We start from the raw sequence: 22,604 nt of genomic DNA on the forward strand, positions 1-22,604 counted from the left end.
TATCAAGAAATCAGAAGAGAGTTTTCAGGATGACACCAGCAGCTAGAAAACTAGAAGGATGGTCTGGCACAGTGGCTCATGCCTGTAATACCAGCACTTTGAGAGTCCAAGGCGGGCAGATTGCTTGAGTCCAGGAGTTCAAGACCAGCCTGGCCAACATGGCGAAACCCCATCTGTTTAAAAAATACAAATGCTAGAGGGACCTATCAGAAAAGAGAGAATCACAGAAGGGGAACCCAGATTCTGAGAGTGGCTCTATCAAACCTCTGGTTGACCCCCTAACTACACATACACACAGGGCAGACCTCCAAGCAGCCCAGCTCAGCCTGAGAGAACCAAATAGACATTTCAGCTGCTGTCCGGCCTGGCTAACTTGGTACTAAAACAAAAACTGACAAATAATATTCTTCAGATGTGCCCAACAGAACCCTTAGTCTGCCCAATAGATCATTCATGAAGTCCAGGGTAGAATGCAAAATTACTAGACATACCATAAACAGGAAAATAGAATCCATCTTCAAGAGGAAAGTCAATCAATGGACACCAACCTCAAGTGGATTCAGATATTGACATTAGCTCAAGGTCCTAAAAGAAAATATTACCTAAGTTTTCATTATTTGTGTTTCACCCCTAGACTATGAGTCCCGTCAGAGCAGGACCTTATTGGTTTTGTTCCTTGCAACATCTCCAGCACCTAGAATAGCAAATGGCTCGTCGAAAATATCCCCCAAAAATGAATGTGGCGTAATGTGGGATTTTCCCCTCATTTTCTGCCTTTAGGACTTGAGGCCCCTCCTAGATGAACAGAATGCTGACAAAGAACAAAATCATCACCGTTCTCTTTTCAACGGAGGACATGGTTTTATGGTTATGAATTAGTAGCAGCTGTTGTAGACAAGTGGCTTTGATCTGAGATTACTGCCAAAAAGAAAGCATGTAGAATAGCTATTCTGAAACTCAATGTCATCATTTAAAAGAAACAAAAACTTCTCACATTCTTCATGATTTAACTCCCTTAGAATATCTCTATATATATTACATAAATATATATAATTATTATATGTAATTATATATATGTCTGTGTATATATATATATACACATCTGTATATATATATGTATATACATCTATATGTATATATGTGTGTGTATATATGTATGTGTGTGTCTATATATATATTTGAGATGGAGTCTTGCTCTGTCACCCAGGCTGGAGTGCAATGGTGTGATCTCGGCTCACTGCAACCTCTGTCCCACTGGGTTCAAGTGATTCTCTTGCCTCTGCCTCCCGAGTAGCTGGGATTACAGGCACCTGCCACCATGCCCAGCTAATTCTTTGTCCTTTTAGTAGAGACAGGGTTTCACCTTGTTGGCCAGGCTGGTCTCAAACTCCTGATCTCAGGTGATCTGCCCACCTTGGTCTCCCAAAGTGCTGGGATTACAGGTGTGAGCCACCGCCCGGCCTGTAATTATATATTTTAACAAATATATGTAATTATTATAGATTTATATATAATCGTATATTTATACATAGGTAATGTATATTTCTACATAATAATTATATTTATAGATTATATATTTACACATAATAATTATAAATTTATAGAAAATATATATTTATCTATAATAATTATATATTTGTATCTATAATAATTATACATATTTTAACAGATATAATAATTATATATATATAAATTCTAAGACCTAGGTATTTAATTTGTGGTCAATTTGTAATACGATACACCAGGAAATTATGATGTTTAAGGTTAAACATAAAATTTTACAGGGAGGTTAATTACTGAGGTGGCTGTTTAGGTCACCTGCTTTAAGTGTTTTCTGGATAAACGTTTTTCTACCAGGGTCAACACTTGGGATGTTGTTACACCTTTTGCCTGGACTTCACATGGGACCCTAAATATTCCCCTCAAGGGGCTTCTCAGCCTGCTCACACACAGGTGAATGTCAGTATTTAACCACCTGTAGGGCGCATGCACTGACCAATCAAAATGAAGGTGAGCCGAGCACCAACCAATCAGAAGCAATGCCAGCTCTAAGGACCCGGTCTGGCTGTACCTGCGCTCTGCATGGTATCCTGTTCCGGAAGGTGTCCTGGTCACCTGTTCCCTGTTCCTAAGAGGATTTCAGTGCCACCTCCGGCTCTACCAACTGTTAAAGCATATGGGGTTGCACTCAACCAGCAGCCCAAGGCAACTGCCCTCCAAGTTTTTGTCAAGGAGAATTATCTCAAAATTCCTCGCCCAGTGCTCACAGTGTTGGGAAAATAACTACCCATGGAGTGAAGCCAAGCTATTTTTTTTTTTTTTTTTTTTTGAGATGGAGTCTCGGCTCACTGCAACCTCCGCCTCCCGGGTTCAAGCGATTCTCCTGCCTCAGTCTCTCGAGTAGCTGGGATTACAGGCCTGTGCCACCACACCCGGCTAATTTTTGTATTTTCAGTAAAGACAGGGTTTCACCATATTGGCCAGGCTCGTCTCGAACTCCTGACCTCAAATGATCCACTGGCCTCAGCCTCCCAAAGTGCTGGGATTACGGGCATAAGCCACTGAGCCGGGCACCAATCTATTTTTCTCAACCACTAATAAAGCTATTATTAGTAGTGGTGGGCCCTTTTCTTCAGGTAAAATATTATGAGGAACTCCAACATGAAAATTACAAAAAAACTGAGGGTTTGGGGGAAACAGAACCCTCCTGATCTCTGCACCCCAATCCTTTGGCATTCCTCCAGCACACACGCACACATGTGTACACCCACATGCACACACGCATGCACAACTTAACACTGCAGCAGCCTCTATTGCCACTCCGTGGAATCACTTGCCATAGAGAATGACTTGGAGGGAAGGCAGCCCACCATAGGTAATCTAAGCGCTAAGTCAGATTAAGTCAGGTGCAGTGGCTCATGCCTATAACCCCAGCACTTTGGGGGGCCAAGGCTGGAAGATCGTTCGAGGCCAACAGTTCGAGACCAGCCTGGGTAGCACAGTGAGAGAGACCTCGTCTCTACAGAATATTTAAAAATTACCGAGTGTGGTCATGCGTGCCTGTAGTCCTGGCTACTTGGTAGGCTGAGGTCAGAGGATCTTTGGAGTCCAGGAGTTCAAAACTGCAGGGAGCCATAATCATGCTATTACACTACTCCAACTGGGGCAAAAGAGTGAGACCTCATCTCCAAAAAAAAAAAAAAAAACTAAGTCAGACTATCAGAGAATGTTTTGGGACAGCTCTACCTCCCTAACCACCTCCTAATCTTGAGGAATATTACAAGAGGAGGCAGCCAGTCCTATTAAACTCCTTGCCATCATGAACTGTGAGACTGTTCGGGACACTATTATTGCATTATGCCATGTCTTCCCTTTGAGGATTGATATGATTTGGCTGTGTCCCCACCCAAATCTCATCTTGAATTGTAGCTCCTATAATCCTCATGTGTCGTGGGAGGGACCCAGTGGGAGGTAACTGAATCATGGGAGTGGGTTTTCCTGTGCTGTTCTGGTCATAGTGAGTGAGTCTCATGAGACCTGATGGTTCTATAAAGGGCAGTTCTCCTGCCTACACTCTCTTGCCTGCCACCATGTAAGACGTGCCTTTTTTCCTCCTTCGTCTTCTGCCATGGTTGTGAAGCCTCCCCAGCCATGTGGAACTTTGAGTCCATTAAACCTCTTTTTCTTTATAAATTACCCAGCCTTGGATATGTCTTTATTAGCAGCATGAGAACAGACTAATACAAGGACCCATGGGCAATATTCTCTCTGCCTCCGGGAACAGAAATAGCTGTGCGTCTCCTGAGCAGCTGCTTGCTTTCATCACATAGATGCTGGGTCTGTAACAAGGGACTGTTTCCCTCTCTGTGTTGGCTGAAAGAAAGCTCAGGGCCACCCCATGAATTTTGTCTCCTAACCTCATTCCTGGCTCCATCCTTGCCTTCCCGGACTGCTTTTCCCTTTGTCTTGTTTTCATTGTCTATTTATTTTTTCATTTAATTATGTCCTGTAATTGGATACTCATCTTTGCAAATCACCTTGCATCCTTTCTGGAACAAGGTGGAGAGTATATAAATGGATCCTAAATGTTGGGTTTCTGCAGTGCACCAGGGCTCTCTGAAGTTGGCTACTTTATGACATGCTTCAGCAAGCACCAGCTCTCACATCAGCAATTTTACTGTCTTTTAAAACCAGGAAATCGATCTGCCTCGGCAAAAAGACGGTGCTAGTAAACTAACTAGATTTCCCTGCATTACATATTCATGTAATCGTGTTATCTTCTAGACAGCACATCAAGGAGAGGCGGGAAAAGAACAAGGCCATGGCTCTGTTTGAACCCAACATTTGTTACTCTTTCTACACACCCTATGGACTATCTTTAGGCTCAAGCGCAGAAAAGGAAGATTCAGGGTGTTGGACAATCTCATTGGAGCTTGGGTGTCTTAAATTTCTGCTGGTATAATTCCATTTTCCTCTGAATCACTCACTACAAGGGGGAAAGGAACCTGCCCCTTGGAGAAGTCTTTGAGATATTGATCGCCCTCCAGCAGCCCCCTGACCAGGTAGCAGCCTAAAGTGTCCCCGGGACAGAAAAATAGATTAACTGCTATCCAAACAAGAGAACACATCCACAAGACAGCAGGAATTCAACCGAGCAGTCTCCTCCCAACTCTTAGCATGCATCAGCTGTGCTATATAAACAGGAACAAAAAAGAAACTGGTTAGAAGAAACAGGGGACTAAAAAACCCAAGAGTTCTCCCACACTGGCCCTGAGTTTTTCAGTTCGCCATGGATCCCACAGATTATGCCAAGGCTGGGAGCCCTCCCCAAGATCAGGAAGCAATGCCCTGCTACCCCATCCTGGGTGCTTGCGGCTCCTAAGTAGAAATCCATGGAAACCCCAAGAGAAACACCCGAGCACAGTGGCAGAGACTCCAGAAAACTCTCAGTTTTGGCTCTGCTTCCCTACTTCTTCTCAAGCAGAAGCATCTCAGGCTTCAGGTGAATTTACAATCTAGCTGGGTCTCAGGGTAGCAAGAAGGACCCAGGGCTAGTAAACCAATGCGGATGCTGCTATCAACTCAAAGATAGGTCTTATGGGCTCTGATTCAAAATGTACATTGGAGGCGGGGCACAGTGGATCACGACTGCAATCCCAGAGCTTTGGGAGGCCAAGGTCGCTTGAGGCCAGGAGTTCCAGACCAGCCTGGGCAACATAACAAGGCCCCATTTCTGCTAATAATAATAATAATTAGCCAGGCAGGGTGGTGGCACACACCTGTAGTCTCAGCTACTCGGGAAGCTGAGGCAGAGGATCACTTGAGCCCAGGAGTTCAAAGCTGCAGTGAGCTATGATCATGCCACTGCTCTCCAGCCTGGGTGAAAAAGTGAGACCCTGTTCCTGAAAGAAAAAAAAAAAACTGCATATTGGATTTGCACAAATCACTTCCTGTTTTCTAGTTCACTCTCTGCTTGCCACCTCACCCCCAAATCAAGGAAGAGTGCTTAAAGTTAACAAATAGGAAAATAACATTTCTTTTTTTTAGGATAAAAATAATTTACCAGCCAGGCACAGTGGCTCATGCCTGTAATCCCAGCACTTTTGGAGGCCAAGGCGGGTGGATCACCTGAGGTCAGGAGTTTGAGACCAGCCTGGCCAACATGCTAAAACCCCGTCTCTACTAAAATACCAAAAAAAAAAAAAACAAAAAAAAAATAGCTGGGCGTACTGGCGGGCACCTGTAATCACAGCTATTCGGGAGGCTGAGGCAAGAGAATCGGTTGAACCCAGGAGGCAGAGGTTGCAGTGAGCCAAGATCATGCCACTGCACTCCAGCCTGGTGACAGTGCGAGACTCCATCAGAAGAAGGAGAAGGAGAAGGAGAAGGAGAAGGAGGGGAAGAGGAAGAGGAAGAGGAAGAAGAAGGAGAAGAAGAAGGAGAAGGAGAATTTACAAAGAATGGTAGAATTAGTTACTGGAAAGATCTTTCCAGGGGGAGAGGCAGCAAGGTAAGCTCTCTTAGCTATAAGACCATGGAGGGCTCCCTTCATCTGAAGGACTAAGGACTAAAAGCATGTCTCCCTGTCTCTGAAAACGAGTAAACATCATCCTCCAACTCCCCACAGAGCAGAACAGCAGGAAAAACTTTTTTGCTGCATTTCTGCACTTCATGCGAGGCCTGGACAGTCAATAACCAGTTCCTTGCTGATGAAGCAATCCAGAAATGGCCCTAGCTGAGCTAAGAAAAATTTGGCTTCTTCTTTGGGTTTTCAAAAGGCAGGGTAGGGGCCACGCATGGTGGCTCACACCTGTAATCCAAGCACTTTGGGAGGCCAAGGTGGAAGGATTACTTGAGGCTAGGGTTGTGAGACCAGCCTGAGCAACATAACAAGACCCTGTATCTACAAAAATGGTTTTTTTAAAAAAATTAGCTGGATATGGTGGCATGTGCCTGTAGTCCTAGCTATTCAGAAGGCTGAGGTGGGAGGATCACTTGAGCCTAGGAATTCGAGGCTGCAGTGAGCCATGATTGCACCATTGCACTCCAGCCTGGGCAACAGAGCCAAATCCAGTCTCTAAGGAAAAAAAAAAAAGGAAAAAGAAAAGAAAGGGAAGGGAAGGGGAAGGGGAAGGGGAACGAGAAGGGGGAAGAGACATAGGAAACAGGCCAGCAGAGAGAGCAGACGAGAATGTGGTGGAAGCTCATCTACAATAGCTTTCCTGGGCTCAAACATTCTGTCTGAAGACTAGAGACGGTGAGTAACTGTGCCTCCTAAGTGTAAACACTGGAGAAACGCAAGGCCCCATTCATCCACGCCTCCCTCGGCCTGCGGGGGCCTCCTGGAAGTGGACAGATGGGTTTCCTTCCCCTGGGACCACAATTGCAGCCCCGGAGAGCCTCAGGCAGCACAGAAGCGAGGCAGCAGCCAGCGCGGAGAGGCCAGCAGCGCTCTGTGAATTTGTGAACGTGCTGTCCCACTTAGGGCTCTCTGGAGAATTCCAGGAGCCAACCCTCAGCCTCCGTTTGACAGAGCCGCTTTTCATCTTCCCTGGCTCCGGCACAAGCAAATGCACACAGGCGAAAATCAGTTAATAACTGTGCACATTTTCTAATAAATTTTAACAATTTAACAGTGTGGTACAGCTTTATTATAGTTTTTATTTCACTACACTAATTCAGCGTGTAATAACCTGCCAGAGACACAGAATTCACTTGACATATGCTCTGAGTGCCAAGATAATGGAATAAGCTCAAGAGGAACCTTGAGTCTCACCCAGCTGGGCACTACCCATTCCCTTGGGGAGTGACAAAGGGGTGCTGGCCTCAGAGTGGCTGCAAGGGAAATGTGAGCTATGAGATGCCCCCCAGCCTGGGTCTAAATGGCCAGCTTCCCTGTGATTCCCTCTCCATAGAAGGCAGAAAGACGTAAAAGCACAGACAGTGCTGTATTTAATGACAGCCTGGTTCCTGGGATTAGTCCCAGGGCTCAGCCTGCTACACTGCTGATATGGTTTGGCTGTGTCCCCACCCAAGTCTCATCTTGAATTGTAGCCATAATCCCCACGTGTCCTGGGAGGGACCCCATGGGAGGTAATTGAATCATGGAGGTGATTTCCCCCATTCTGTTCTCATGATAGTGACTAAGTTTCACGAGGTCAGATGGTTTTATAAGGGGGAGTTGCCCTGCACAAATTCTCTCTTGTCTGCTACCATGTAAGATGTGCCTTGTGCCTTTCAGCTTCCATGATTGTGAGCCCTCTCCAGCCACGTGGAACTGTGAGTCCATTAAACATCTTTTTCTTTATAAATTACCCAGTCTCGGGTATGTCTTTATCAGCAACATGAGAACAGACTAATACAACTGCATTCCTTAAGTCTCTTGGTGACTAGGAGGTGAAATGGTGTTGATCTTCTTGGGCCTGGCAGCTGGCCACCTACACCTCATTCAGGCCTGACCCAAGGGAAATGAGATCAGGTCAGAGAAGATGCTTGCTTCTAGGGGCCCCAGTCTAGCTGCTCTCACTCCCTCCCTGCCTGCTCTGGGCACACCCCCTCTTAAATAATGTTCTCCAAGCGTGGGCCCAAACAAGCAGCCTCAGCATCACCTGGGAAAGCTGTTGATGCTGCAAATTCTCAGCCTCTTCCCAGCCCTACTGAATCAGAAATTCAGAAGGGGTGGGGCCCAAAAAGTCTGTCTTGACAAAACCTCTAGATGAGCCTGGGCAACACAGCGAGGGCTCGTCTCTGCAGAAAATAAAAAATTAGCCAAGCGTGGTGGCACACACCTGTAGTCCCAGCTGCTTGGGAGGCTAAGCAGGGAGGCTTGAGCTGCTTGAGCCAAGGAGGACAAGTCTGCAGTGAGCTGTGATTGCATCACTGCACTCCAGCCTGGTGACCAGATGAGACCCTGTCTCAAAAAAAAAAAAGGAACCTCTAGATGATTTTGGTGCTTGCTGAAATTTTAGAAACACTCAAATTTTAGAGATTAGGAGGGAGAGTTTTGAAAATGCCTGGAACTAGGGAGTTCTGGAAATACAGTCAAGTAGTCTGGCGATCTGGGGTTTAGCTCTGCTGTTCTCTCTACCTTGCCAGGAAATCATGGGCCTCAGTTTTTTCATTCGGAAAATAAGAACACAGGCTGGACACTCACTAAGGCCCCTCCCTGGCAGTCCTGACATTCTGGGACTGATGGCTGAAATAAAGTTGACAGATTACAGACAGTGCCCCTTTCACTAGAGAGAAGCCTGAGTGGGTCAAGTTTGGTTGCTAAGGGCTGTTTTAGCTTCAAAACAAAAGAGAACAATGGCAAGGAGAAGGGTCTGTCACCAGGAAAAGTTAAAGAAGGTGAGAAACCCAGTTGTGTGGAGTGTGTGTGTGTGTGTGTGTGTCCACAGCATGCAAATTTATCTTTTTAGGTCTTTGCTTGCTTTAACTATCTTTTCTCTCCTCTATATCTTTTGCCTTTCTTTCTTTTTCTTTCTCTTTCTCTCTTTCTTTCTTTTCTTTCTTTCTTTCCTTTTTTCTTTCCTTCCTCCCTCCCTCTCTCTTTCTTTCCTTCCTTCTTTCCTTCCCCCCTCCCACCCTTCCTTCCTTTCTTTCCTTCCTTCTTTCTTTCCTTCCTCCCTTCCTTCCTTTCCTTCCTACCTTCCTTCCTTCTTTCCTTCCTTCCTCCCTCCCTTCCATCCTCCCTTCCTTCCTTCTTTCTTTTCTTCCTTCTTTCTTTCCTTCCTTCCTCCCTCCCTCCCTCCTTCCCTTCCCTCTCTCCCTTCCTTCCCTCTCTCCCTTCCTTCCTTCCTTCCTTCTTTCTCCCTTCCCTTCTCTTTCTTTCTTCTTGAGATAGAGTCTCAGTCTGTTGCCCAGGTTGGAGTGCAGTGGTTCAATCATGGCTCACTGCAGCCTTCACTCCTAAGCTCCAATGATCCTCCCACCTCAGCCTCCCAAGCAGCTGGTTCTATAGGCATGCGCCACCACACCCAGCTAATTCGTTTTTCTTTTTATTTTTTGTAGAGATGAGGTCTCGCTATGGTGCCAGGCTGTTCTAAACCCCTGGCCTCAAGCAATCCTCCTGCCTCAGCCTCCTGAGTAGCTGGTTCTCCAGGCATGCACCACTATCCCTGGCTCATTATTTTTATTTTTGTTTTTTGTAGAGATGGAGTCTCACTATGTTGCCTAGGCTGGCCTTGAACTCCTAGGCTCAAGCCATCCTCCCACCTCAGCCTCCCAGAGTGTTGAGATTACAGAAGTGAGCCACGGCACCCAGCCTTGCCTGTATTTCTTGACTCCCTATTTCTCCAAAAACACGATTAAGTCTCCCTCATTCTATCGAGAAATAAACAAAATCCTTCCTTATGTTTTGCAAGGTCTTCTACCTGCCATCTTTTCTCCCTTCCCATGAGAATAGACCGTCTTAAAATAGTAGCCGCCACGTAGAGACATCACAGCAAATCTCTTATTCCTTCCTTGACCTCCTCCCTCAATCTGGCTTCTACCTCCATCACTCCAGGAACCTGGCTGGCTGCCTCCTACTTTCTAACTCCGAGGGACACTTCCAGGCCTTATGTTGCTTCATCTCGTTGGCATTTAACACTCCATCCTCTCCAGATTCTACCTTCTGACTGCCCCTGGTTGGGCTTCAAGCGATGCCAAATAGCTGCCACTCTTCGCCTTAGCTTATAAGTTTATATTTTATGTTTCATTACACACATATAAATTTGCATGCTATCCAAAGTATGTTATGGAAATAGACAAGGTACAAGCCACCTAACTTTTCAACATTCCTTAAAGGAAACCTCAGAAGAAAATACAGTTGAACCTCAAACCCTGTGGGGGTTAGGGGTGCTGCTCCCCCTACCCCATGCAGTTGAAAATCTGCATACGACTTTTTCTTTTTTTCTGGAGACAGCGCATCACTCTGTTGCTAAGGCTGGAGTGCAGTGACGCCATTATAGCTCACTGCAGCCTCCTGGGCTCAAGTGATCCTCCCTCCTTAGCCTCCCGAGTAGCTGTAACTACAGGCACACACCATCATAACTAGTTAATTTTTAAAATTATTTATAGAAATGGGGTTTCGCCATGTTGCCCAGGTTGGTATCAAACCCCTGAGCTCATGCAATCCTCCTACCTCAGCCTCCCAAAGTCTTGGGATTACAGGCATGAGCCACTATGCCCAGTCACATATGACTTTTGAATCTCCAAAAACTTGACTGCTAATAGCCTACTGTTGACTGGAAGCCTTACTGATAACGTAAACAGTTGATTAACACATATGTTGTGTGTTACATGTAATATATTCTGTATTCTTACAATAAAGTAAGCTAAAGAAGAGGAAATGTTATTAAAATATCATGAAGAAGAAAAAATATATTGACTATTCATTAAGTGGGAGTGGATCATCATAAAGGTCTTTATCCTTGTCGTTTATTCTTTTTTTTTTTTTGAGATGGAGTCTCGCTTTGTCGCCCGGGCTGGAGTGCAATGGCGCAATCTCGGCTCACTGCAACCTCCGCCTCCTGAGTTCAAGCAATTCTCTACCTCAGCCTCCTGAGTAGCTGGGATGACAAGCGCCCGCCACAATGCCTGGTTAATTTTTTTGTATTTGTAGTAGAGATGGGGTTTCACCATCTTGGCCAGGCTGGTCTTGAACTCCTGACCTCATGATCCACCCGCCTCGGCCTCCCAAAGTGCTGGGATTACAGGCGTGAGCCACTGTGCCGGGCCTCTCCTTGTCTTTTTCACATTGAGGAGGCTGAGGAGGAGGAAGAAAAAGAGGGGTTGGTGTTGCTGTCTCAGGGGTGGTGGAGGCAGAAAAAGATCCATGTATAAGTGGCCCCTTATAGTTCAAACCCAAATTGTTCAAGGATCAACTGTATTCTTTTCGAATTAAATGCCAGAAAGCTTTGGTTTTCCTTAAGGAACTAGCATATCATCTCACGGACAACAAAACTCAGAAAGCAATTCCCAAAATAGTTTAAAACAGACAAATGGTTAATGTCAGTCCCCGGAGAGAGAACCAACTGGAAATGATCACGGGGTGGCACTGGGGTGCAGACCATGTCCTATTTCTTGGTCTGGGTCCTGGTTAGGTAGCACCCAGAATACCCAAAACCCAAAGATGTATTCACCCATACAATGATTATCTCAGAGCACTGGTAAATTTTTTTAAGAAATCCCCATTTTCTGTTTTCTGACCAGAAAGTTCTGATCAGATTAGAGGCTCAATTATATTCTTATACAGTTTTATGACCAGCCAGGCACAGGGGCTCATGTCTGTAATCTCAATACTTTGGGAGGCCAAAGTGGGAGGATCACTCGAGGCCAGGAGTTTAAGACCAGCCTGGACAACATAGTGAGACTTTGTCTCTCAAAATTAAAATAAAATAGAATCTGGCCAGACACAGTGGCTCAAGCCTGTAATCCCAGCACTTTGGAAGGCTGAGGCAGGCGGATCACTTGAGGCCAGGAGTTCAAGATCAGCCTGGCCAATATGAGGAAACCCCATCTCTACTAAAAATACAAAACTTAGCTGGGTGTGGTGGCTTATGCCTGTAATCCCAGCTACTCCGGAGGCTGAAACAGGAGAATTGCTTGAACCCAGGAGGCAGAGGTTGCAGTGAGCTGAGATCGCACCACTGCACTCCAGCCTCAGCAACAGAGCGAGACTCTGTCTCAAAAACAAACAATAATAATAATACCATAGAATCTTATGACCTTTATTTCTGCATTCTGTTTTTTGTACTGATCTTGCTCCTCTGTTCTAAATTGTATTTTAGAATACAAATACAAATTTTTTGGTACAAAATTTTTTATGTTTAGTTTATGATCATATATTTTTTATTTCATTATATATACATGTCAAAAAATGCTATCCAAAATGCTTTATGGAAGTAGACAAGGTGTAAATAAATATTCTTTCAAGTAGGGTAAAATCTGTCTTTTGTTTCCATGTTCTTTACTCCTGGTATGCAGCAGTTGTTTGATGAATGCCGAAAGAAATAAAAGTTTATCTGTGAAGAAAAAGAGAACAAGAAAGCAAAAGCTAAAGGAGTCAGTAGGAGCTAAGGGAAGATTCTTTTTAAGATGAGAAAGATCTGAGCAGACCTACAGGGAGGTGGGAAGAAGCCAGGAGAAAGGAGTAAGTTAAAAATTGGGAGAATGAGGGCCAGGCACGGTGACTCATGCCTGTAATCCCAGCACTTTGGGAAGCCCAGATAGGAGGATCACCTGAGGTCAGGAGTTCGAGACCAGCCTGACCAACAGGATGAAACCCCGTCTCTACTAAAAATATAAAAATTAGTCGGGCATGGTGACATGCGCCTATAATCCCAGCTACTTGGGAGGCTGAGGCAGGAGAATCTCTTGAACCCAGGAGGCAGAGTTTGCAGTGGGCCAAGATTGCACCATTGCACTCCAGCCTGAGCAACAGAGCGACACTCCGTCTCAAAAAAAAAAAAAAAAAAAAAAAAGTTGGGAGAATGAGCTATAAGTCTTGGTCCCAGGAGAGACGAGGACGTAGAATGTACAAACAGGGCGAATCGTCTTGAACAAGGAAGAAGGAAGCACCTCCCTCCCAATCTCCTGGTTTGGGTTTCTGGTCATCTTTTTAACCTGTAAATAGCTGTGATGCCTCAGAACTCAGTTCGTCGTCTCTTCCATCTCCTGATGATCTCATCTGAGATGGCTTTAAATACCATCTGTACTCTGATGATTCCCAAGGCTGTCTCCAGCCCAAATCTCTCTCGTGAACCCAGGACTGCCCACTCAACATCTCCACCGGGAGCCTCAACAGACGTCTCCAATTTAACATGAGAAACACCCGACTCCTGCTCTCCTCCCAAACCTGCTCCACCCACAGCTGTCCCCGTCTCAGGCCAAGGAAGCTTGAGTCATCCTCGACTCATCTCACACAACTCACCAACCCATCAACACATCCCATTGCCTCCATCCTGAAAAAAACAAAAAGTTCAGAATCCTAGCACTTGGCAGACCTCCATTGGTACCCCACTGGCCAGCCACCATCACCTCTCACCTTGATTAAATGTTCACCTCCTAGCTGACCTTCCTGTTCCCACCTTGCCCACCCACAATCTTTCCTCAACACAGCAGTGAGGAGGATCATTTAAAAATGTTTCTCCTCTGCTCAGAGCCCAGCGCTGGCTCCCGCCTCACTCAAAGCAAAAGCCAAAGTTCTTACAACGCCTCCAAGAGTTTTCATTCTGCTGCCACCTTTATTTATTCAGGATTGCATTCTATTTAGGATTGCACTTTATTAAGGGCTGCACTTATTTAGGATTGTACTTTATGTAGGGTTGCACTTATTTAGGATTGCACTTTATTAAAGATTGCACTTATTTAGGATTGCACTTTATGTAGGGTTGCGCTTATTTAGGATTGGACTTTATTAAGGGTTGCGCTTATTTAGGATTGGACTTTATTAAGGGTTGCGCTTATTTAGGATTGCACTTTATTCAAGGTTGCAATTGTTTAGGATTGGACTTTATTAAGGGTTGCACTTATTTAAGATTGCACTTTATGTAGGGTTGCACTTATTTAGGATTGCATTTTATTAAGGGTTGCAATTATTTAGGATTGCACTTTATGTAGGGTTGCACTTATTTAGGATTGCACTTTATGTAGGGTTGCACTTATTTAGAATTGCACTTTGTTAAGGGTTGTGCTTATTTAGGATTGCACTTTATGTAGGGTTGCACTTATTTAGGATTGCACTTTATTAAGGGTTGTGCTTATTTAGGATTGCACTTTGTTAAGGGTTGCACTTATTTAGGATTGCACTTTATTAAGGGTTGCACTTATTTAGGATTGCACTTTATTAAGGGTTGTGCTTATTTAGGATTGCACTTTATGTAGGGTTGCACTTATTTAGGATTGCACTTTGTTAAGAATTGCACTTAGGATTGAGCATTATTAAGGGTTGCACAGACACACCCATGCCTCATCACTGTCTCAGGACCTCGTCCTCCTCCTCGGCTGTATTTCTCTCAAGAGCGTGTGTCACCATCTGACGTGCTATGTACAATTTACCTTTCGTGACTTATTTTTTTGTCTTCTTCTCTGCCTGCAAGTTCCGCAAGAGCAGGAGATTTTGGGTGTTGTGTTCACCACTGCATCCAGGTGCGTAGGACACAGTTTGGTAAAGGATCAATGCTCAGTGCGTATTTGTTCAATTCAATTTTCCCAAGTGATTCCGTTGCTAAAAATCCTTCAATGACTCCATCTCCTTCAAAATGAAGTGCCCGCCTTTCACGCACCCCGGGTCCCTTAGGATCTAACCCCTGTCTCCTCTCCGGCTTCTTCTTTTATCACATTGCCTCCCATAATGGTCAGACAGATTTGCTGCCACTCCCTCGAGTGTTTCTTTCACCTCTGTGCTTTGCATGTGTAATTTCTTCAGCCTAGGATGATATTTCATAGCCACCTCTGTTGGGACTCAGTTTGGGGATCATCTACTTGAAAGAAGCCTTTCCCAAGGCCAAGATCATCATCCTCCCAGGATCCACTAGACTCATGCCTCATGTATCCCATGACACACACTATTTAGCCCCCATCCCTTTACTTGAGAACAGGGGGCAGCCAATCTCACGTGGGTTCCTCCAACCCCTAGCTAGAGAGACCCTCTGCAAATGTTAGGTGGTGGTATTCACTTTTATGATGATGATTATCTTTGATCAACTTTTTTATTTTTTTGAGACAGAGTTTCTCTCTTGTTGCCCAGGCTGGAGTGCAGTGGTGTGATCTCGGCTCACTGCAAACTCCGGGAGGTGGAGGATGCAGTGAGCAGAGATCATGCCACTGCACTCCAGCCTGGGTGACAGAGTGAGACTCTGTCTCAAAAACTAAATTAATTAATTAAAAAATTATTAAATCAATGACTCTCCCCAGTAGGTACTAAGTGTCTCCACACAAATCAACTTACTCTTTTTTAATGGATTGATATATTGATAGACTCGTACTACGCACCAGAGTAGCAGTTGAAGCTCCTCTTTCCATTCAGAGCGGTTATCCCGTTTCAGAGCCTCTTCTCTTCTTCAAAGCATGAAAAAGAGGAAGTAGCACATGAAGAGGGAAGGCTGCTAGCAATCAGAACAGCTCCCAGGGCACTCCTGGAGTCCGCAGGCACCCGGTACAGGTTCCAGTGCAGGAGACATTTTTTTAATTACAGTTCAAATTTCCCCACAAATGGATCTATCTTAATCCCAATTTATTACAGTCACGAGGCTCTTTGATCTAACTGGCTCAGCTGTATTTCTTAAGTAAACTGAGTGAGAATTGGTTTTGCTTAGTCATTAAAAACCACCTATGTTGAAGGTTATGTGTCCACAGACTGGTGTGTATTCATTCAATAAACTTTTATGTTGTTTCCACGCCATGCCAGGCCCTTTGCTAGCTTTTGGGAGAGATAGAGTGACAGGGAGGAGGCCATCCCTGCCCTCAGAAAAGGCACAGTCCAGCAGTCAGTACAGGAGTCACTATAACTATTTAAACAGTCCAATCCTTTGTGTTAATGTTGACTTAACTCAAGGCAGCTGCAATTGAAAGAAGAGATACTCCTTTGTACAAGCTGCATACACAGACTTCAGCTAAATGACTCCATTTAATCCTGACAATGCTACCATGTTACAGACAGAGAAACTGACGCCCGCCCAATGAGATTAATCAGCAGCCCAGGCTAGGTGCTCTTGTGTGGTGAAGCTGAGACTCCAGTGAAGGTCTGTTGGTCCCCAAAGGCCATGCCTTTCCCACCACCTTGTAAGCTAAGAGCCCACCACGGCCATTAAAGAAATGTCAACGGAACACAGAACTACACAAAGTTGCCAGATCTAAACAAACTCCACTGGGACCTGCGTACAGCTTCTTGAAAGCCAGCAGCCATCAGTGAATTAAACACACACACACACACACACACACACACACACACACACACACACACACAACATTAAGTTGAAAAGAAAATTTGACACAAAGGAACAGTCTACTTAATTACTTATTGTTAATGGGCCCCAGCTGATACAAAAACACAGTTAGTGACATCTATTTCAAGCCTCTCTTGGCTTCCCCTAGAAAGTGAAAGAAGGCTGTTGACCTTTGGGCCACCAGGCAACAGAGGAAGAGGTGACTATAGCTGTGTGGACGAACCTTCTCCACTGAACGGTCTGTGAGCTCAAGGAACTCACCCGGCTAACCATGGCCTCAGTCCGCTTCTACCCTCAGCTCCAGGTGAGAATCTGACCCTCACAGACCAGCTGAGAGCACGACCTTTAAAAATGACCTCAAACCTCCAACGCCACCCTCCCCAAAGCCTCCTCCCTTTAACCAGCATGACCAAGGCCTCCAGGCTGAGTTTCTGTTTGCAGGAAACATCTCTCCCGGGGTTACTTCTTTAGAATCTTTAAATCAACCACACAGATCCACCGATGGGCATGGGGATAATAATTCATTCCATCAAGCGCTTCACTCATAAGTTCTGAATGGTCTCTCCTAAACCAGAGAGTTTCTGCCACAGCGGAGAGTTTGATGATTCTGATCATACAAAATGCATTGCACCCCCAGTGTCTGGGAAGCAGACAGGCTGACTTCCGGGACATTCATCCAGAGAAAGTGCCCATCCTTGGCTGGGGGATTGCAAAGGGATTTAGCTGCAAACGCGGTAACTACCGTTCATGGAAATGGTTCAGAACTCTGCAGGCAATCACTTTGGGGGAAAATCTCTACTCACGTGAGCTGTGTTTTGGCTCAGATCCCCCTCAAGACTTGAACGGGGATGTTAACCATTCAGCGTGTTTTAAAGCCCCTGGAAAATTCAGTAAAAGCACTTCCCCTCCCAAGCTCCTCTCCCAGGTGGGGAATTGGAAGTCCTTAGAACCCTGCCTCTAAGCCACAAGAACCCATGCCCCCGGGACCCCCAGAGATGACTGTCACTCAGGCCAATGAAAATGCCTCCCTCTGCCCAAGTCTGACTTTCAGGGATGTCTGTGGAGTCATGTCAAGCTGACGGAAAGGAAATCTTTCCTTTGGGTATGACTCGGAAAGAGCATTTCACCCAGAAGTCACCCCGTGAGGGTCAAAAACAAATCAATGAAGGATTTGCAGATAGATGTTCTCTGAGCCCAAGTACAATTTACACAATGCAATGTACAAAGAAGATAAATCTACTCCTTCTCTCTGCCAGGCTAGAGCAGATTCCTGAATCAAAACAACTCTTTGCCACAGAACCTGAGACTCGGCTAGAAGTGAGTTTCCTCAAAAGGCACAAGGGACAGGGTTAGGAATTCCTGAAATCATACAGCAAGCATTTGAAAGGAGCAGCGTTCAGAGAGTAAAGACGAGGGGAGAATGAGGGCAGGGGCGGGGAGGGGGGACAGGTGTCGGCAAGATGTTCCTCCGGGACGACTTACAGGGAAAGTTGTATGGAATGAGTTTTCCAATAACGTAGGAGTGCAGCCACACAGCCATGTTCTGACCGAGTGGCAGGGCACCGATTTGACAGGCAAGTCGAGTCAGGGTTATGCCCTTTTCATTATCTCCAAGGGGAAAGGACCCGGCCGGGAGGAAATGGTTTTGCATGAGCCAGAGCTGAAAGAAGCGTGTCTCCCCACTCCTCCAAACCACTTTGACAGCTGGGTGAAGCTGGGGCCAAAACAAACGTGCCAAGAGCCACCACCACCTCCAGATCTCCCTACCCCTCCCCTTCCTCGGAAACCCATCAAAACTTGATTCTGTCTCAACTAAACACAAGCTGGGAAATTGGAGAGGAGGAAGAGGGGAAGAGGAAAAGCAGAAGGGGGAAGGCAGGCAGCATCCATGCAGTCAGTTATATCATTGACTGAGAGACACACAAGCTTCAGAGTGTCATCGGCAAGGGTCATACCTCCTGCTGATCTCGGGGGAAATTCTCCAAGATCCATGGCTGGGAGTTAAGGAGAATCTCTAAGCCATCAGGAAGGAGCAGGGCACTGCAGCTCCTCAGAATGATGGACCGGGGCGAGCTTTAATTAACAGGGTCTGATGCCTCTTCTTTTTTGGTAACTGAGCAGATTTAAAGGGCTAGAGTCCCAATTTGAAGGGTGCCAGTGCTGCTGCCGTGGCTGCTGCCGTGTCTGCTCTGGCTGCTGCTCCTGCTGCTGGGAAAGCTTCCTGCAGCCCTCTCACTCCAGCAAGAAAACGGGGCTGAGAAGGTGGAAAAGTGCCCCCAGAAACACCGGAGTCTCTCGGGCTGCATGGTTTGAATCGGAACCACAGGGCTGTGGACCCACGCACTGCCTACCCTAGGAAGTACCAAGGTCCTGCTCGCTGTCTTCCAGACCGAGGGAAAGAGCGGGGCTCCGTGGAGGCAGGGGGCATCGGTGACACCCTCTTCAGACACGGGGCTGCACGGGACACTGCCTGGGGAAAGTGGGAAACCTGGTCTGTACTGTGTGCTCCCCTCCTGAGAGCACTGCCACTTATGTAAGCTGCATGCACACACGCCTACCCATGTACACACACACCTGCCATGCACACACCCATGCCTGCCTATTATACATACGTGCCTGCCCATGCACGCACACACACCTGCCCACGCACAAACATGCCTACCCATACATGTACACACACCTGCCCATGTACACACACATGCCTGCTCGTGTATATGCATACACATTCCTATGTACACACATACCCACCCGTGTACACACACATTCCTGCCCATGCACACACACATGCCTGCCCATACCACACACACGTGCCTGCCCATGTACACACATACACACACGCTTGCCCATGTACACACACAGACGCCTGCCTAGGTATACACATGCCTGCCCATGCACACACACACACACACACACACATGCCTGCCCAGGTACACACATGCCCGCTCAGGTTCACACATGCCTGCTCATGCACACTCACACACATGCCTGACATACCACACACACACACCTACCCAGGTACACACATGTCTGCCCGTACACCCATAGATGCCTGTTCATGCACACACATCTTCCCATGCACACACACCTACTTGCCCACTTTTCCAGCCATGTGCCTGCAGCCAGCTAGACACACTGCCTGCATATTACAGGCAGATCACCAAGAGAAGTAGTTGTGACACACAGCATGGCCAGGAGTGGAACAGAGAAACGTAGCCACAGGGATGAGGGGAAGAGCAAACCCGTGTTGGGAGTTCCTGGCATCTCCGGCTGCCTTTGATAGAGCACGAATCTGTGTCAAGGACAGTTCCTGTGTCAGGGATAGAGGGTCAGCCTCAGAGACCCCCTTCCCACGCTGCCTCTTTTTGCTTGCCCCTGCTTGAGCAGCTGCTGGTCCCTTTGTGAGCCTGTCTTGGCTAAGACCGCCACACCTCATCCTCACAATAGCTCATTGCACTTGGCATCCCACACTATGGAGTCGGTTTTTCCGAGATCTTTCTTTAGTCAATATGGTGGCACCTTGCGTGATCTTTTTTTTTTTTGACGGAGTCTCACTCTGTTGCCCAGGCTGGAGTGCTGTGGCGTGGTCTCGGCTCACTGCAACCTCCGTCTCCTGAGTTCAAGCAGTTCTCCTGCCTCGGCCTCCCGAGTAGCTGGGACTACAGATGTGCACCACCATGCCCGGATAATTTTTTGTATTTTTAGTAGAGACAGGGTTTCACCATGTTGGCCAGGCTGGTCTCAAACTCCTGACCTCATGATCTTCCCCCCTCGGCCTCCCAAAGTGCTGGGATTACAGGCGTGAGCCACCGCACCCGGCCGCATGATCTTTTTAATGCCATTTTCCCCTCATAAGCACGTGAAATAAATCCAGCCAATTGGTGCTCAGAAGCCAGAGATCTCCAGGGTACGTGCCTTGGAGTGAGTGTCAGGGGTGTCCAGGAGGGAGGTGGGCTGTAGTGTCAGAGTGAACCCCAGATCCCATCTCAGCTCTACTAAGAGCATGCATTTGACCCCCTTCCCCTTTTGAGCCTGGGTTTATAATTTGAAAATTAGACAGGGTTGAACTAAGCCAGTAATGCTCTTAACAGAAAGGGAAAGGAAGGAAGGGGATATATGGACTTTTAGAAAGCTTGTCAATTATCTCAGCACCAAGGTTGACCAAATCTTCTTGGCAGATGCGGACGGCGCACTGCAGAGGGCATGCCCTAAAAATCTTGAGAAAATCTGAGCAGGATCATCTCTAAGGACCTCAGAGTCCGTGAGGGATGGAGCGGAATGGCCACAATCTCCCAGATCCTAGCCACTTCTCTAAGAAATGGACCCTGCACTGGGCCAGCTCAGACTGGCAATGTCAGAAAGAGTAGGCTTTCAGCAAAATCCCTGAGCTTTCCCAGCAAACCTCCCTCTGTGCCCACTTTACCCCTGCCTGGTTCACACCCTTAGATACCCACAGCCCTCACCCCCACTGGCCGGAAAATCTTTGTCAGCAAAGAATCTGCCGTCAGGCTGGGCGCGGTGGCTCATGCCTGTAATCCCAACATTTTAAGAGGCCAAGGTGGGAGGATCACGAGGTCAGGAGATCGAGACCATCCTGGCTAACATGGTGAAACCCCGTCTCTACTAAAAAAACACAAAAAAATTAGCCGGGCATGGTGGCGGGCGCCTGTAGTCCCAGCTACTCAGGAGGCTGAGGCAGGAGAATGGCGTGAACCTGGGAGATGCAGCTTGCAGTGAGCCAAGATTGCACCACTGCACTCCAGCCTGGGCAACAGAGCAAGACTCCGTCTCAAAAAAAAAAAAAAAAAAAAAAAAAAAAGAATATTCGGTCAGCTATTTAGGCTGGACACTGTGGCTCACACCTGTAATCCCAACGCTTTGGGTGGCTGATGAGGGAGGATCCCTTGGGGCCAGGAGTTTGAGGCCAGACTAGGCAACATAGCAAGATCCCATCTTTACAAAAAATTTAAAAGCTAGCTGAACATGTTTGTGCATACCTATAGCCTCAGCTACTTGGGAGGCTAAGGCAGGAGGATCACTTGATCCCAGGAGTTCAAGGTTACCGTGAGCCACGATGGTGCTACTGTACTCCAGCCTGGGCAACAGAGTAAGCTCTTGTCTTTAAAAATAAAAATAAAAATCTGCCATCACCCAGTCAGACATCAGTTACATGCAATTTCTTGTCCTCCATTTTCCGAGGAGATTTGCATATTGCATCTTCTCTTCCCCTTAAAGAAAGGTGTGGGAAATAATGAGGTTGTAAGTGGGGGATGTACACCTGGCATAAACAGTGTCCACAGACTCACAATCCCAGAGCCCCCCGACCCCCAGCGCCCAGTGGGCCATCTCCAAGTAAAGTGGACTCAGGTCAACAGAGGATGGCACAGCACAGATGGCCAACAAGGACCACATGACGAGGAATTGTCTGCAGGGGAGTTCCAAACACTATTCCTACTACGTCCTCCTCAAATCTTTGGGTCTATTTCTGCTTTTTCATTAACAAAATCAAGCCCCAGCCAGGCATGGTGGATCACGCCTGTAATCCCAGCACTTTGGGAGGCTGAGGCAGGCAGATCACTTGAGTCCAAGAGTTTGAGACCAACCTGGGCAACATGGCAAAACTCCATCTCTACTAAAAGTACAAAAATTAGCTGGGCATGGTGGTGCATGCCTGTAATCCCAGCTACTCGGGAGGCTGAGGCAGAAATCACACCACTGCACTGAAGCCTGGGCTACAGAGTGAGACTCTGTTTCAAAATAAAAATGAAAACAAAAATAAAATAAAGCCCTAATTTTTTTGAGATTAGAGGATCCTCATGTGGGGCAGGAGCAGTGGCCTCAACTCTGCCCTTTCTCCAGTCCCTTAGAGTTCTCTCAATCATGTCCCCATAGTTGCCACCATGACGGCCTTGTGGAAGCTCTGTGCCCCAGGATGCTACAGTTCATATCTTCCCCCAGCTTTCTCCACAGTTCCTCAGAACAGAACTTAGACCAGGCAGAAGAAGGAGGAGGGGGAGGAGAAGAAAGGAGAAGGAGAAGAAGAGATAGAGAAGAAGAAGGAGAAGGAGAAGAAGGAGAAGGAGGAGGAGGAGGAGCAGGAGGAGGAGAAGAAGAAGAAGAAGAAGAAGGAGGAGGAGGAGGAGGAGGAGGAGAAGGAGGAAGAGGAGGAAGAGGAGG

The 22,604-nt window shown here is 46.6% G+C and overlaps 1 protein-coding gene across 6 annotated transcripts in view, besides 2 other annotated features; it reads right to left on the reverse strand.

Annotated features, from left to right (window-relative positions):
- The window catches only part of CALN1 (calneuron 1), a 724,789-nt gene that overhangs the window by 649,166 nt on the left and 53,019 nt on the right, over window positions 1-22,604 (reverse strand). For 5 of the 6 annotated variants that reach the window (NM_001363460.1, XM_017012683.2, XM_017012676.3 and 2 more), the window contains exon 1: window positions 18,386-18,487. The exons of the other annotated variant lie outside the window; for it this stretch is intronic. The gene's annotated coding sequence lies outside the window, so the exon portion shown is untranslated. Of the gene's footprint in view, window positions 1-18,385; window positions 18,488-22,604 lie in introns of those variants that run through there. 6 annotated transcript variants of the gene reach the window in all.
- Window positions 18,347-18,847: an enhancer, noted in NCBI's record as "H3K4me1 hESC enhancer chr7:71911988-71912488 (GRCh37/hg19 assembly coordinates)". NCBI's record gives its function as "activates a minimal SCP1, AML or CMV promoter by ChIP-STARR-seq in naive H9 embryonic stem cells {active_cell/tissue: H9 hESC(naive)}" and the evidence as "EXISTENCE:reporter gene assay evidence [ECO:0000049][PMID:30033119]".
- Window positions 18,848-19,348: an enhancer, noted in NCBI's record as "H3K4me1 hESC enhancer chr7:71912489-71912989 (GRCh37/hg19 assembly coordinates)". NCBI's record gives its function as "activates a minimal SCP1, AML or CMV promoter by ChIP-STARR-seq in naive H9 embryonic stem cells {active_cell/tissue: H9 hESC(naive)}" and the evidence as "EXISTENCE:reporter gene assay evidence [ECO:0000049][PMID:30033119]".

This window comes from Homo sapiens, chromosome 7, assembly GCF_000001405.40.
Source record: "Homo sapiens chromosome 7, GRCh38.p14 Primary Assembly".
Lineage (NCBI taxonomy): Eukaryota > Metazoa > Chordata > Mammalia > Primates > Hominidae > Homo > Homo sapiens.